The sequence below is a fragment of the Homo sapiens genome, chromosome 2 (assembly GCF_000001405.40).
Source record: "Homo sapiens chromosome 2, GRCh38.p14 Primary Assembly".
In the NCBI taxonomy this organism is placed as follows: Eukaryota; Metazoa; Chordata; class Mammalia; order Primates; family Hominidae; genus Homo; species Homo sapiens.
Window position 1 is genome coordinate 133920192 of NC_000002.12, and position 18407 is coordinate 133938598.

General features: G+C 36.3%; 1 long non-coding RNA gene across 1 annotated transcript in view; it reads right to left on the reverse strand.

The window, feature by feature from the left end:
* Positions 1-942: 942 nt before the first annotated feature.
* LOC105373627 (uncharacterized) overlaps positions 943-18407 on the reverse strand; it is a 65027-nt gene continuing 47562 nt past the window's right edge. The window contains exon 7 of the long non-coding RNA XR_001739714.2: positions 943-8459. This is a non-coding gene — a long non-coding RNA (uncharacterized LOC105373627). The remainder of the gene's footprint in view (positions 8460-18407) is intronic.

Below are 18407 nucleotides of genomic sequence, written 5' to 3' on the forward strand. Positions count from 1 at the left end.
CCTGGCATTCTCCCTAAGAGGTTGGTATTTTATGCATATTACAAAAGCTTTAAAACAAATGTTATAAAAGAACCCAAGATTCAAAGACATAGAATGAATTATCTAAGTTCACCCTGCTAGACAAGAGAGGATAGCTCTCAAATTCACACCCATCTGTCAAAACTTCATGTACCACCCTGGAAGGGACCTCTGAAGACTTGCCAAACTCACCAGAAACTTGAGGAACCAAAAAAAATGGATCTCGAGGCCCAAACAGGTCCCTCACCATGGGCGGGGATTTTCATACCTTGCACCTTTCCATGTGTCCCGGCCATGGGGGCCGAAGGAACCACTGGGGAAAGAAAAGGGATATGGGAATTGGGAATCTCCGCTACCCACCTCAGGTAACCGAAAAGGCATCACCCCAAGCTGCAGTAAGCAGGAGCACCCACAGAAAAAGGAGAGTGAAAATATTCTTTGAAAGAATTTGCTAGCTGGGCTCAGTGGAAATACTCGCGCCTGTAATTCCAGCACTTTGGAAGGCCAAGGCGGGCGGAACACTTGAGGTCAGGAGTATGAGACTAGCCTGGGCAACATGGTGAAACTCCGTCTCTGCTAAAAATACAAAAATTAGCCGCGCATCATGGTGGGCGCCTGTAATCCCAGCTACTCGGGAGGCTGAGGCAGGAGAATCGCTTGAACCCGGGAGGCAGAGGTTGCAGTGAGCTGAGATCGCACCACTGCACTCCAGCCTGGGTGACAGAGCAAGTCTTAGTCTCAAAAAAAAAAAAAAAAAAAAATAGAATTTGCTATTTCCTCCCAAAATCAGGGATGCTGTCATTTAGGAAATTTTAAAAAATAATTTTCAATTTAGTATTGTACCAATTTTGAATTATATATGAAGGATATCATAATTTTAAAATTTGTGATTTAAAAATATGTGGGAGTGGGGGGGCACTGTAATCCTTTTTTTATAGACTTTATTTTTTAAAGCAGTTTTAGATTCACAGCAAAATTGAGCAGAAGGTACAGAGAATTCCCCTATACTTCTTACCTCCACACATGCATAGCCTCCCCATTATCAACATCCCCCACCACAGTGGTGCATTTTTACAATTGCTGAACCTACTCTGAAACATTATCACCCGAAGTCCATGGTTTACATTATGATTCATTCTTGTGTTGTACATTCTATGGGTTTGGAGAAATCTGTAATGATACATATCCATAGTTATAGCATCATACAGAGTATTTTCACTGCCTAAAAATCCTCAGAGCTCCACCTGTTCATCCCCCCGTCAACCCCTGACAACCACTGATCTTTTTCCTATCTGAATAGTTTTTCCTTTTCCAGGGTGTCATATACAGACGGTCCCCAACTTATGATGGTTTGGCTTACTGTTTTTCAACTTTAGCACTGTGCGAAAGTGATATGCATTCAGTAGAATCTGTACTTCAAATTGTCAATTCTGATCTTTTCCTGGGCTGGCAATACATGATAGGAGACTCTCTGTTGCTGCTCTTGCCATACTAGAAAACAGCAGTGAGCAGTAGCTCCCAGTCAGCCACGCCGCCATGAGGGTAAACAATTGATGCTCTAAAGTGTACTGTCTTGCCAGCGTTTTTTGGGTGTTGTGTCTGTGATTTCCCATCCCATCATGTCTAACAAAAACAGCCATCTTTGACTTAGGATATTTTCAATTTACAATGGGTTTATTGGGAAGTATCCTATAGTAAGTAGAGGAGCATCTGTAGTTGGTATCACACAGTATGTAGCCTTTTCAGATTGGCTTCTTTCACTTAGTAATATGCATTTAAATTTCCTCCATGTCTTTTCATGGCTTGACAGCTTATTTCTTTTTAGCACTGAATAGTTTTCTATTGTCTGGATGCACCAGAGTTTATTTACCCATTCACCTGCCGAAGGACATCTTGGTTGCCTTTGAGTTTGGGCAACTATGAATAAAGCTGCTATAAACATCCATGTTCACGTTTTTGTGTGGACATAAGTTTTCAACTCTTTTGTGTAAACACCAAGTAGCATGATTGCTGGATCATATGGTAAGAGCATGTTTAGTTTTGTAAGAAATTGCCAAACTGTCTTCCAAAGTGATGTACCATTTTGTATTTCCACCAGCGATGAATGAGAGTTCCTGTTGCTCCACATCCTTGTCAGCATTTGGTTTTATCAGCATTCTGGATTTTGGCCATTCTAATAGGTGCATAGTGATATCTCTTTGTCATTTTAATTTTCATTTCCATGATAACATAAAATGTAGACCATCTTTTCATAGGCTTATTCTCCAACTGAATATATCCTTTGGTAAGTTGTCTGTTAAGGTCTTTTACCTACTATTTAACCAAATTGTTTGTATTCTTATTGTTGAGTTTTAAGAGTTTTCTTGTATATTTTGTATAATTGTTATTTATCAGATATGTCTTTTGCAGATATTTTCTCCCAGTCTGTGGCTTGTCTTCTCATTCCCTTGACACTGCAAACTTTTTAATTCTTAAAGCAGTGAAGGTCATAGCTCAGCCTAAACACTATCTCCACTATGCCTGAGGCTAGGAGACTACAAAGAAAATATCGCTAACATTGATGACTCCCATTAATGTTCTCCAGGTATCAAATGTGTTACCAAAACAACTACCTGAAATTTAGATACTATGCCAATAGCTGCCCAGCAGTAATAATACACACAGTTAACCTTGACCATCTTATCTCAAATGTGCTTCTATAAGAGCTTTGGGAGCAACATGTGAGCAGACAGCTGACTCGAGTGAAGAATCTTGCTATGGAATTACCATTACATTATATCAGGAGTTTAATCTGAGCCCTAGGCCAGACCCTAGGATTACAGGTTAGGAAACTCTGAAGATTAATTCTGTTTGGCAAATAAGCATTCATATTCTTTCTTTATAATATTTATCAGGTGACCATCATGTATATGATACAATATGAGTTATGAAGACATATAAATTTCTCAAGCTAATTAAAATCTTGTAGGAACTATATGGCATGTGTATAATACAAATTGCCTCTCAGCTGAGACAGACAATAAATCTTGAGAATCATTGTGGTTTAATGTATCTTTAATATATTATATTAAAGAGAGACCTTAAAGTTTATTGCATCTAATCATCCTCCCAAAACAAAGATCAGAAAAGCCCAGAATAGAATTCTGGTTCCAATTTATTTGTCTTTGTGATCTTAGACAAATTACTTGTCAGCCTTAGGACTTTGTCTTATAAAAAATAAGTACCTTAGACTTCTGGTTATTTGCTTATCTGGCTGATGGAACACACATGTATGTCTCTACTTTCTCCTGAAACCTTTCTAAAATTATAGCAATTAATTTTTTGTCCATAAGAAACAAGAGAATTAGAGAGAGAAAAATCGTGGGTAAAAAATGCTATTAAGTAGAACGAAACTTCTTTCAGTGGCCAAGCTTGGAAACTAATTCACAGGCTGGAACCCTAAAGAGCCTCAAAATTGGGAGGACACGGCACTGCTAAAAATAGGGAAATAGAATGGGACAGAAAAGAGAAGCGTTGGTCAAGAAGGAGATAAACCCCAAGGTTTCCTCCTCAGCCACATGCAGTTAGACTGTGGCCTTCCTTTGCAATAGCAGAAGACAGGAAGAGAAATTGAATCAAGGGAGTCCAAACACCAGGAGTAGCAAAAGATGGGCTGCTGTCTTAAAAAGAAAGAAATTATGCAAAAGTCTGCTTTTTGGATGGTGAAGCCCCCTAAATCCCCTCGTAATGGGCAGAATAAGTGTTGCCCCCAAATGTTCACATTCTAATCCTCAGAACCTGTGAACACAGGGCTGCAAGTGTTTACATAGCAAAGAGGAATTAAGGGACCAGGTGGAATTGAGGTTGTTAATCCATTGACATTATAATAGGAAGATTGTGCTATTTTGTCCAGTGAGCTCAATGTAATCACGAAGGCCCACAAAAGTTGAAGAGGGAGGCACAGTCGGTCAGAGAATGTGACCACAGTGATGCAATGATGATGGCTTTCAAGAAGGATGAAGGGGACTGTGAGTCAAGGAATGTGGTGGCCTCTACAAGCTAGAAAAGGCAAGGAAATGGATTCTGCCCTGGAGTATCCAGGAAAGAACACAACGGATATCTTGATTTTAGCCCAGGGCAACCCATGTGGGACTTCAACTCTCTAGAACCCTAAGATGGTAAGTCTGCACTGTTTAAGCTGTCAAATTTGTAGTAATTGGTTACAGAAGTAACAGAAAACTAATACAACCCCTTACAAAGCAATAATGTACAGCAAGTATATCATTCCAATGCATTGACTATATAGTTATTCATTTGCTATATATATTTTAAATATTGTCTAAAACATTTTTAAGGGGCTACTTCCTCATGAACCTCTATTGTACACTTAAAAAGTAACTTGTAAGGAATAAATGTAAGTGATGGCAATGTCGTCTTGCTTAGTTAATGGTAAAGTTAACATCCTGCCTTCATTTGATTGCTTTCTAAGACAGTGGCCACTTTGACAACAGAAGTACTCAACTGCATGCACACACATATGCTTCACATGTATGTGAACACGTATCACAAACACTTATTGCAGCATATCTGTGTTAACTCACTTCACTTATGTTAATAAAACATCTTGAAATACTCCTAAGGTCATTAGTTTCTGTGTAAGGTCAAAGTCCATGGCCAGCTTATTTACTGTAGCTAGTTATAAAGGCAACAACTTAAATTTGAGCTATGAGATCTTTCAAAACAAGAAATACAATGTGTTTTATAAGAAATTCTATTTCTACTCTAACCCATATTAGGAAACATTGATTATCTTAATTATTGCCACTCTTCAGGGAGTTGGAAACAGACTTAATATTATGCTTTCACTAAAGCGTAATTAAAGGATTTTTTTCTCTAGCTGATATTATAAATACTAGCATTTGTTCTAAGAATTACTTCTGAAAAGAAATTTTACAAATTGCAATAAAATTTTCTTTCTGTATAGATGTGAATGAATGATTTAACTTAATTTCATTTTTACTTGATTTCAAACCCTTCTTGCATGCTTTCATTAAATAACTAAATTTTATCCAAATGAGAACTAGTATCTCCAATTCTATCTTTGCATCTCATGAACACGTGTTCTTTTGTTAGGTCAACTGAACCACCTGGTGCTGAATATTTAAACTGAAGAGAATCTCTGGCATCTGGCATTCACTATCAGGCTGTCTGCATCTGGCTTAGCCATGATCTTTGTATATTTATGTTTAGTCTCTTCACTGACATTTTATAGAGATAAAAAATGTGGGACAAACTAGAAAAAAAGGATGAACAAAGTAAAGCAACAATGATGTGATATGGCAGAATTTTTACAGTAGCTGGTGAAAAAATGCAGAATTAAATAGAAAGTTTTAGAAAGCATTTTAAAGCTCAAGAACATATATTTTAGAATTCAGTATGATACAAAATAATTCCTTATTTTATAAAGAATATCATAGGTCAGACTAGATATCAAATTCGGGTTATCTTTTCAAAGAAATTATTCATTCAGTCTGATGTTAAGCAAACCCTTGAGTGTTGGTTTTGGGGATTTTTATGGAGCAGATAATATTAGGGATTTTGGGGATGGTGATCAACAGTAAAATAGAAAATATTACTCCTGTTCTTACCCAGCTATGAAAGATAAAATAGTTGAACTCCACAGCTAGAGAATATTAAGACAACAAAAGTTGGTTTTCCTGCTATATAGTAAACAAAAGGACATTATCAATTGTATCCAGAAAAATATATGGGAAGCAATTGGGTAAATGTAACTGAAATAATCATAATGGAAATGAAAATGTGGTAGCTTGTATTATTTGAAAATCTGGAAGGGCCACCATATCCTATAGAATTGAGTCAAAATTGAGAATTATTCATTAATTTAAAATATCCATCAGTCAATGAATGGATAATGAAAATATGGCAAAAATACACAGTGGAATACTATTCAGCCATAAAAAAATGAAATCCTGTCATTTGCAGCAATATGGATGGAACTGGAGGTCATTATGTTAAATGAAGTAAGCCAGGCACAGAAAGACACATATGGCATGTTCTCATTCATATATGAGAGCTAAAAAAGTTGATCTCATGGAGGTAGAGAGTAGAATGATAGTTACCAGAGGCTGAAAAATGTGTGTGTGTGTGTGTGTGTGTGTGTGTGTGTGTGTGTGTGTGTGTTGGTGGGGTGTTGCTAGGGGATGAAAAGAGGTGGGTTGGTGAGAACTAACATACAGTTAAAGAAAAGGAATAAGTTCTAATATTTAATAGCAGAGTAGGTAGATTATAGTTAACAACAATGTATTGTATATTTCAAAATAGCCAGAAGAGAGGATTTGAAATGTTTCCAACACACAGAAATGATAAGTCCTCGAGGTGATGAATACCCTAAACCCTGATTTCATCATTACACATTCTATGCATGTAATAAAATATCACACCTACCCCATAAATATGCATAAAATTATGTATCAGTAAAAGAATTTAAAACTTAAAAGTAGCAAAAATGCCTTTGGGAGGCCGAGGTGGGCGGATCATGAGGTCAGGAGATCGAGACCATCCTGGCTAACACGGTGAAAACTCGTCTCTCCTAAAGATACAAAAAAATTAGCTGGGCATGGTGGTGAGCACCTGTAGTCCCAGCTACTCGGGAGGCTGAGGCAGGAGAATGGTATGAACCCGGGAGGCGGAGCTTGCAGTGAGCCGAGATCGCACCACTGCACTCCAGCATGGGTGACACAGCGAGACTCCGTCTCAAAAAAAAAAAAAGTAGAAAAATGCCATGAAGTGGTAAAATTACAAATACTTCAAAGACTGAAATTAATTGTAGCATAATTCTACAATTGAAGCATAACAAATTTTTTTAATTTTACGTTTAAAATTACCAAAATATTGTTCTTATAAATATTTGATAACTATTATTAAATGTATAAGGTATATCTATTCATATGATTATTATGAAGATGTGTAAATTTACATAAAGCATATGTCAAGCACAGTGTTTCACACATAAAAAGCCTTTGATAAATGACAGCTATTAATAGCCATCTATTCATCAAACTCCCAAATAAATGTATATCTAAGTTCTGACCCAACCTTCCATTGACAGAGACCTTGATCCTTCACTAGGTCATCCATTCCTTTATTGGATAAGTCTAATACTTACAAAAACAATTGTTGTGTCCAGTCAAAATCTGCATTCCAACTTTTGACTATTGGTATCATTTTTGTCTGTTGGAGCAACATAGAACACCTACTTTGACTTATACATGGCAACCCTTTAAACATTTCTAAACAGCTACCTCCTCTTCCTCAGAGACTTCTGTCTCTTGACCATCATCTTCAGAAAGTTGAGCCTGGAAATGACCACATGGACCACATTAGTGTGGCCAAGGCAAAGTTAAGACTTGGCCACTTGGAAATTTACTATTATGATTATCCCACCCTTATTCAGGGCACTGTAGCTGGAGCTTAAGTCATGTACTTGGAACATTTTGCTTTGCAAATATGAGACACTTAGTTAGCTTGAGTTGAAAGGGAAGATATGAGGATCTATTAGGTTATTAGAATACAGTGATACTCAAGGAAGAGAAATGCAACTGAGCCATAGGAACATGTAGACAGGAGTCTCTTTCCATCTCTCATGTCCACCCCTCTCTCCAAAGACTAGATTCCTCTGCCACCCCAGTGGTGGGGGACATGGCTGCCTATAAATCCAAAGCTTTACTTCTTAGAGTCCAGGCTTTCGAAGACAGTCCAGCTTACCATTCTTGGTTCTGATTTTAAAATAAACAGAACAGATCCTTATTCTTAAGTTGAGTATCAGTTTCTGGACCTATCAACTGTGGCCAGGAACCAGGTCATGTTGTGACGTCAGTGCTTTTTTGCAACCATCTGGACAAGGGAAGGGGCAACTTCTAGAAAAGGTGAACTAAGCACACAGATCTGCAAGTGTTCACTACAGAATACATTGTTTTAGTTTTTAGTTTTTGACTAGCAGTTAATTGAACTTCAGTGTAATCTCATGTATTCTGTTCACACTTGTCTCAGTATCTCCCTGAACCTATGACATCATTTATACCTAGTGAATTTTAGCACATCTTTGCAGCCTATTAAAATTTTGTGTCACAACTTCTCATCCAATATGCATTACTAATGCCCTCTAATTGTCTGTCTGAAGTCTGGCTTTCACATCTTCATGAGTGGATGATAAAATGAAGACGATCACAGGCAGAACCTTATTGCAGTCCACCAGATACTTCTTTTAGGATTGACATGGATCCATTATTAAACACCTGGGGGATACAATCATTCAATCAGCCGTGATGGCTTAGAAATGAGTCTTTCCAGAAGCGCATGGATCTAAGTGTCAGCAACACTGAGGTTAGAAAATTCATCATCTCCACATCCCATGGGCAGAACCTATTTGGGGAGTAGTGTTCCTGCAAGATCAAAAAAGAGGAATTCTTAGAGAGCGACCTGTAACGCTATTTTTCCATTCAAACAGGAGGTAGTGCCTGAAATACTGTCACATTGTGTAGATCATTATCCCAACAAATTATTTTTCTTGTGAAAACAGAGCTTATAGAGAAGTTTCCCAAAAGCACCAGTCCGACAGCAAGGACAAAGGCTCAAAAGTCCCAAATGAAAGGAGTTGGGCAGGCACTCTCAGTACGATCTGCAGATGCTGGCCCCAGGATAGGCACTCATCTAAGCCATTTTCACCCTGTGCCTTCAGATACCTTTAGGACTCAAAAGCAGTCACACTTGGAACACTCTGATTTTCCTGAATATTTTCTCAACTGGCTTAGCTGGTACCATCTCGTTTTCTAGGTACTTTTCAGTTTTTTAACTAGTGTGTCAAATTAAACCTCATTGTGTTACCAGGGGACTGAATGAACGATGCCATCCATAAACTGTTACGTTTCTAAAAAGTGCACAAATTTTGATGCTAACCAATCAGTTTATTCATTTATCTGGAGCATTTAATTTGTGTTGAGCATTGGGGATAAGTCAATTCACAAAACAGTCTCTGACTTCTTGGAACTTAAAAAACCCTGTACTTCAGCCAAACAAAGCTGCTCACTGACCAATGAGCCTTCCAACACTTTCTTGATCTCCTCCATTCCCCCCAAACTCAGAGTTCTTTCCACATCTTGGTCTCCTATTTAATCCCATCTCATTTCTCAAAGAAGTTAAAACAGAATTACCATTTGACCCAGCAAAACCATTATTGGGTATATATCCAAAAGAAAACAAGCCTTTCTACCAAAAAGACACATGCACTCACATGTTCATTGCAGCACTTTCACAATAGCAAACACATGGAATCAACCCATCAGTGGTGGACTGGGTAAAGAAAATGTGGTACATATACACTACGGACTACTATGCAGCCATAAAAAGAATGAAATTATGTTCTTTGCAGCAACATGGATGTAGCTGGAGGCCATTATCCTAAGTGAATTAATGCAGAAACAGAAAACCAAGTACTGCACGTTCTCACTCATAAATGGGAGCTAAATATTGGGTACCCATGGATATAAAGATGGCAACAATAGAAACTGGGGACTCCTAGAGGAGGGAGAGAATAAGGGGGTCAAGGGTTGAAAAACTAATCATTGGGTACTATGCTCAGTACCTGGGTGATGGAATCATTTGTACCCCCAAACCTAAGCATCATGTGATATACCAAGGTAACAAATCTGTGCATGTACTCCCTGAATAGGAAATAAAAGTTGAGAAAAAATTAATTAATTCATTTATTAATTAAATCTATCCCAAAGGGTACCTTCACCTCCACGAAGGCTCCCTGACCCACCCTGCAGTGATCTTTCTGCTGTCTGAGCTCTTGCAGCTGAATCATTTATACCACACACAAGCAGCTAGCAGCTACATTTGAGAGAAAGAGATGAGCTTTAGAGTGAGACAGATACATGTTGAGATACTGCCTTGGCCACTTACTAGATTGTATGTTCATAGGTTATTAGGTATTCCTGAACCACATCTGCAAACTGAGGATGATAATGCCAATTTCATAGAAAAGTTGTGAGGAATAATTTATTCCAAATAGCATATAGCATATTCTGTTTTGGTCCATTCCTGTTGTCATAATGAAATACTTTACACTGGGAAATATATAAATAATAGAAATCGATTTCTCACAGTTCTGGGGCCTGGGAAGTCCAAGACCCATGTGCCTGGTGAGGGTTCACTCTCTGTTTCCAAGATGGCACCATGTTGCTGCATCTTCTGGAAGGGACAAATGCTGTGTCCTCATATGGTGGAAGGAATGAAGGGCCAGGCAGCTCTCCAAAGCCTCTTTTATAAGGACACTAATCTCATCTATGTGGGTGGAGGCCGCATTACTTAGTCACTTCCCAAAAGGCTTCACCTCCTAAAACTACCACAGGCCAGGTGCGGTGGCTCACACCTGTAATCCCCACACTTTGGGAGGCCGAGGCAGACGGATCACGAAGTCAGGAGTTCAAGACCAGCCTGGACAACATAGTGAAACCCCGTCTCTACTAAAAATACAAAAATTAGCCAGGCACAATGGTACATGCCTGTAGGTTGCAGTGAGCCAAGATCGCACCACTGCACTCCAGCTTGGGCAACCGAGTGACACTTCGTCACAAAAAAAAAAAAAAAAAAAAACCTACCACAATGGAGTTTAAGTTTCAACATGAATTTTGGAGGGACACAAACCTTCAGACCACAGCATATTCTTCCATCCAAATGTCTAGTTTTCTAACAGCAGTGTAGTGAAAAGAGCATGGTGGCTCTACACTTCATGGTTTTGCTTCCTTAGAAACATCACCCATGGTGAAACCCCGTCTCTACTAAAAATACAAAAATTAGCCGGGCGTGGTGGCGCATGCTTATAATCTCAGCTACTCAGGAGGTTGAGGCAGGAGAATCGCTTGAACCCGGGAGGCAGAGGCTGCAGTGAGCCAAGGTCGTGCCATTGCAGTCTAGCCTGGGCGACAGAGCGAGACTCCATCTCAAAAAAAAAGAAAAGAAGAAAAGAGAAAAGAAAAGAAAATAAATATCACCCAATATCTGTCTCAGTTTTCTGAAAGGCAAAATGGAGATAATAATTAATTTTTACATCAAAAGGTTGTTGTGAAGAGGAATTGAGTTAATGTACAGAGAAGTCCTTTATGAGCTATAAATCACAGAACACATGGCAGACTATCCATCTTCATGAATCCTATGTAGGTTTCCTCACTTTCAACTCGATTGGGCTCAATTGTTTCTCTCCTATGCCTCTCCTTTTTCTAAAGTGTGCAGAAACAGTCAGCAATCCTGACCACTGAACACATCACACACACACACACACACACACACACACACACACACACACATTTCCCTGTTCATATTCTGCTTTATAAACTTTCTTATGAAATATAACATTCATGCAAAAGGTGCACAAAACTTAATAAAGCTTGATGAGTTTTTACAAAGTTTATAAACAGCCACTTAGATGAATGACAAAACATTACCAGCAACCCACCTCAATCACCGTACCCACCCAAAGTTAGCCATTACGTTGACTTCCATAAACAAAGACTGGTTTTGCCTACATTTTTGTGCTTAATATAAACATAATCATACAGTATAAAGTCATATGTGTCAGGCTTATTTAACTCAACATTAACATCTGAAAACTTACCCTTTGTTGCATGTAGCAATGGTTCATTTTTTTTAACTACTTTATAGTATTTATTGTATAAATATGCCAAAGTTCATGTATTCATTTTTTGTTGATGAACACATGTTGTTCCAGTTTGGAACTATTTCAGATAATACAATGAACATTCTTGTATATTTTGGGTGCACTGTGCATGCATTTCTATTGGGTATATAGCCAGGAGTGCAATTGCTGCCTCATAGGATACGTATATGGCTAGTCGAGTCTTCCAAACATTTTTTCAAAGTGGTTGTACCAATGTACACTCCTGCTGGCAATGAATGACAGTTCACTTGTTCCATACCCTCACTGATATTTTGTATTATCCATCTTCTTTGTTTGGCTATTCCAATGAATGAGTAGTAGTGTCATATTGTGATTTCAATCTACATTCCTTGATGATGAGGTTAAACATGCTCTCACATTTATTGACCATTTGGATATCCTCTTTCATGAAATGACTATTTAAGTCATTTGCCTATTTTTATATTGCATTATTTAATTTTTCTCAATGATTTTCAGTTCTTTATATATTCTGGATATGAGTCTTTTTATATTTATTAACAATATACTCAATATTGTGTGGCTTATGTTTTCACTCTAATGGTGTCTTTTAATGAATAGGAAATTTCTAACTTTAATGTAGTCCAAGTGAACATTTTATAACTAGTACATTTTATATCCGAATTAAGAAAATTTTGTCTACCTGAGATAATAAATATATCTTCTGTGGGTTTTTTTTTTCCTAAAAGCATTTATTTGTTTAACTTTTGCCTATAGATCTACAATCTGACTGGAATTGACTTGTGTAAGATAAAGATTCATTTTTCCCATGTGGATATCCAAATAACAGCACCATTTGTTAAAAAGGTCATCCTTTCTACCCTATACAGCAGTATCACTTTTGTAAAATATCAGATAACTATAGAGATGTGGACTCTCTGTTCTGTTCCACTGGTCTTTTTATCTATTGTTATGCAAACTTCAATCTCTCTTAATTTCAATAGCTTTGTGATATGTCTCAATATCTGAGAGTGTAAGTCCTCAAAATAATCTTTCTTTTTATAAATAATCTCCTTGACTATGTTTTGCCGTTTGCATTCTTATATGAATTTTAGAATCAGCTTGTCAATTTCTACACAAAACCTGCTGAGATTTTAATCAGGATTGTGTTTAATCTAAAGATTAGTTTGGAGACAATTTACATCCTGACCATTTTAATTCTAAACCACAAAAATGGGGGGGGTGGAATCTCTCTATATTTAGGCTCCTAAAATTTCTCTTGGCAAAGTTTTATAGTTTTCAGTGTAAAGGTCTTAAATGTCTATCATTAAATACATTTCTAGATTTGAAAGTTTTTATGCTAATGTAAATCATATCTTTTTAATTTTAATTTTAATTTTATTTGCATTTTTGTTGCCAATATATAAAAATGCAATTGATTTCATACATTGATCTTGGATCCAACAACCATGCCAAATTTACTTATAAATTCTAGTAGTTGTCTCTAGATTCTATTTTAGATTTTCTATGTACAATTATGTTGTCCATGAAGAGTGACAGTTTTATTTCACCCTTTTCCAAACTGTCTTTTCAAAATTTCTTTTTATAGCCTTATTGCCTTGGTTAAGACTTCCATTTTTCTTTTAATAGAAGTAGCAAGTATCCATATCACGCTCCTAAGCATAGGAAGAAAGTTTTCAATAATTCACCATCAAATTGACTTCCTGGTTTGCTAAGAGTTTTTATCATGAATTAATATTGTGTTTTATCAAATGTGTTTTTGTAATCATTAAGAAAATTTTATTTATCTCCACTTTTCTGCAAATATGGTGAACTATATTGTTTATTCATAATAAATCATCATTAGCATTTCTGAAATAAACTTCATTTTATTGTGATACCTTCTCCATTTACATATCAAAGAATTCTATTTGCTAATATATTATTTAGAATTTACATATATATAATTCATGCTACAAATTTGTCTGTAATTTTCCTTTCTTACAATTTCCTTAAGTAATTTACCTATCAAGATTATGCTGGTCCTATAGAAAGTCTAGGAAGGCTACCGTCTGTTTTATATTCTGGAAGAGTATATAAAAATTGGAGTTATCACTTGCTTTAATATTTGCTACAAATCACCAAAGAAACCACCCAGACCAGGAGTATACTTTGCACAGAGGCTTTAAATAAAACATTTAAATTCTTTAGTAGACATATAATACTCTAATTGCTCTTTCTTATTGTGTCAATTTTGGTAAGCTATGTTTTTCAAGGAATTTCATTCACTGAAATTGGCATAACATTATTTGTGATATCTTTTTCTCTTTTAAATGTCTATAGCATCTATACTAATGTCTCCTTATTTGTTACTGGAATTGGTAATTTGCTCTCTTTTTTACATCAGTCTTGTCATAGTTTTATCAATTTAATGTGTCTTTTTCAAGAAATTAGGTTTTTTTCTTTATTGCATTAATATTTGTTTTCTACTTATCTTTTTTCTGCTTTTATTTTTACTATTAACTTCCTACTACTTTCTTTGGACTAATTTTTTGTGTGTGGTGATATTTAAAATTATGTTTCGTTTTGAGGTGAAAACTTGAATTATTGATATGTAGCATTTAATTCTTTTCTAATATATACATTTGAGAATATAAATTTTCCTCTAGGCATTGCAGGAATTCTCCTAGTTTTTGCTAATCTGATGATATATTTATTTCACCATCCTATTTGAAAAATATTTTTATTATTATAGAACTCTAGGTTGGCAGTTATTTCCTTGAGCATCATTTATCTGTTTTCTACATGTTTTGATATGCCATGTCTCCACTATCATTTAGTTCAAAATATCTTCTAATTTTTATTGTGTTTCCTTCTTTGATTCATGAGTTATTTGTAATTTAATAGCTTACTTTTAAAGCAGTTGGTGATTTTCTGGTTAGCTTTTGTTACAGATTTCTAGCATAATTCTACTGTGCTCAAAGAGCATATTCTAAATGATTTCACTCCTTTGAAATATATTTCAGCTTGCTTTATGACACAGCATGTGCTAAACTCTAGTAAACCTTCCATAAGCATTTGGAAAACACAATGCATTTTGTCATTGTTGGATGTAGTGTTCTATATCAGACATTTAGAATGTCCTTAATTTTTCTTTTTCTTTTTTTTTTTTTGCTATTATAAGAAATTACACAATATACATCTTACTGTATATATAACTTTTTGTCCCTGTTGAATTAATTCATTGTCTTAAATTCTCAGGAGTGGCATTACTAGGTCCAAGGGTTAAAAATGTCTTTTTGTCTTTTCCTATTTATACAATATTGCTAACAAAAGTATTGTATCTAATTACAATGTCAGTCATGGTGCATGAAATCACCAAATTTCCCACAGTGTAGAGGGTTGTAATTGTTTTATTAATAGAGTGGATAGTAAATTGTAACTCAAAGTTAACAGTAATTTCCATGCCTTTGATAACTAGACAAGATAAACATTTTTCTAGGTATTCATTTGCTATTTCAATTTTCTCTCATATAAATTGCCTATTCATCTGTTTAACAATCTACTGGGATGTTGATAATTTTGGAATGAGTTTGAATGAATAATTTCATAATATCGGCAATTTGTCTTTGGCTTACATATATGATGCAAATGTTTTCCCAATCTATTATCTTTTTAATTTTAGCTTTACTGTTTTTCACCATACAATCATGTTCAATTTGTGAAGATTGGAATCTCTTACTTTGTTGCCGGCTACTTAAAACTCTAACAATGTTTCATTCTTTTTCAACTGTATATTTCTTTATTTTCTTCTCCTAAATTTTGGTTAATGTATGGTACAGAGCAGGACTGTCCAGTAGGGATATAGTGTGAGCCACAAATGTGATTTAAATTTTTCTATTAGTTAATTCAAAAAGTAAAAAGAAACAGGTACAAATAATTTTAATTATATACTTTAACCCAGTATCCAAAAATACAGGCATACTTTGCTTTGCATGGTTCCAATATGCATAAATTCCAGTTACCACCACTTAATTAAATAACACTAATCTTCCAACAACATGGTTCAAATTTCAGTTACTGTGGTATATTAACTCTGGTATATTAACTGTACATTATGCTTAACTGTACTTTATTGCATACAGTTAATATACAGTTTTACTTTATTGCATAAAGTAAAAACTTTGCTGCTAGACTTTCAGTCCACAAATCACTACGTAAACAACACGTGTGCATCAATAGCAGTGACCAGTCATGCCATTTCTTTTGAAGTCTATCAGCGATTGGTCACTATGCATCTGTTATTCAGTCCAGGCGCAGACAGTGAAGCATGCATGGAGTTGTGTTGATTCCTTGTCTCCCAGTGGTAAACTCACGTGACATTTTACAGAAATGAATAATCTAAGGAGGGAATGGCCAACAAAGATGGAAGTGCAGCAAAGAAACAAAAAGTGATATTGTTGGAAGTGAATGTAGGCGTGATCAGAAGATGGATCACTGTAGGGATTGTTGACACTACTGCTGTTCGAGAGTCTCAAGACACGCAGCCAGAGGAACTTAGTGAAGGCAAATGCATGGACATAAATGTGGAACATGACTGTCCCAAAAACGATACTGTCCCAGAAACAATGATAACCCAGAGGAAGGGACACCAGCAAAAAACTTATATTGGGTCAGGAGCTGTGGCTCATGCTTATGATCTCAGCACTTTGGGAGGCCGATGCAGGCAGATTGCTTGAGTCCAGGAATTCAAGACCAGCCTAGGTGACATGGCAAAACCCTATCTCTATAAAAAATACAAAAATTATTTTGGCATGGTTGTGTGCACCTGTAGTCCCAGCTACCAGGGTGGCTGAGGTCAGGGAACAATCTTTTGAGCCAGGGAGTTTGAGGCTGCAGTGAGTCATGATCGAGCCACTGCACTCCAGCCTGGATGACAGAGTGAGGCCCTGTCCCAACAAAAAACCCAAAAAACGAAACAAAACTTCTCATTGAAGAAACTCTCGGATTTCACAACATTGGGAAAGCAAGGAGAAAATGTTGGAAGCTGATCTTAGGAAGTAATATGACAATTTGGCAAAGCTTAGAAAAGATGCTCTCTCCACAATACAAGTTATAGGACAAGAAGAAGGAAGCACTGTTCAAACTACTCACAAAGAAGAAAAGAAGTACTTTAACTCTCGATGTTTCCATTATTTGAAATTACTGTGTACTAAATAGGTTCATTTTACCACTTTTAAATTTCTGCGTATATTTATGGCTGACAGTAAGAATGTTTAAAGTTTAGACAAAAATGTTTTAAAGGTTGCATAATAATCATAATTTTCACCCATTGTTAATTAAAATCACTTGTATCATTTCAGCTTGCAGGATCATTTTCATGGTTCTACACCAACAGGCAAAGCAAGGACTGCCTCTATTATCATTATAACATGTAACCAATATAAAAGTTTGGGGATATATTACATCCTTTTTTTCACATTAAGTCATTGAAATGTGGTGTATACTTACAGAACAGCTTAATTCAGACTAGCCACATTTCAAATGCTAACAGCTGCATCATAGGCTAGTGGCTATGCTATTTGGAAGCCCAAATCTAGAGTGTCTTTTCTCTTTAAATTAGAGATGAAAAGTGTTGGTGTTGGTGGGAATACAAGTATCTGCCTGGAAATTCTCTTGTCCAAATAAACAACAGTTTAATATAGGGAACAATACAGAGATGCACTTTATCCCTCTGTAGGTAGTAATGAAGGAACTGACATTACTTCAGCTCCCTCTGGAAAAGCGGCTGAGAAAATAAGCCTTAAATTGTTCTCATAAACTCACTGGAATTAGCCTTGTTGGAACGATAAGAGACAAGAAAGAAGAACTAGTCAGTCTTCCTATGAAAACACTGACTATTTCGTTCACAATGGGAGCTGAAGCAGCTTGGCTCATGTGAGCTCCAGGGAGATTTTTCAGAGCTTTTGGGTTAACACGTCATCTCTGAAATATATCACACAAGTTCTCAGGGCCGCTCAAGGGTAAGTAATCTACACGGAGTTTTGAAAATACTTTTGCCAGTTAGAGGAGTCAGCAAACTATTTATTTGATTTCTTCCTCAGCCTCCCATTCTGGGAATTCCCAACGGCCTAATAGCAATGGCAACAACACCTGCTTGCCTGTCAGTTTGCAGGCATCTTTCTTACCAATATTCCCCAAATGATTACCCTGCCTAAAATCCTAATGTCTCCAGATTTTTCTTGGGTGAACAAGATTATAATGTTTCTACATTCTTGTCTCAGCTCTACCTGAAAATTGGCCCATAAATATTTGTACACAGTTAAGTCTTAAGTTAGATATGTGTGTGTTTGTGTGTGTGTGCACACACGTGCACACGATCATGCTGCTATGCCTAAGAAATTCTTCATTCCTTAGGAAAAGAATATAGTGAAGTGTTAAAAGCACAATCTTCAAAGGCAAACCAAATTAGCTCAAATTTCAGTACTATCACTTACTAGCTATATAATGTTGAACATGTGTTACTTAATCTTTTTGTGCCTCAGTTTCTTTATCTATAAAATGGGAATAGTACCACCAACATTATATAGTTTATATGGGGATTAAATGAGATAATATATGTAAAATGCTTAGTCAATGTCTGCCACACTGTAAATGCTAAAATAGTAGCCATTCTTTATTAGTATTGTCTTTA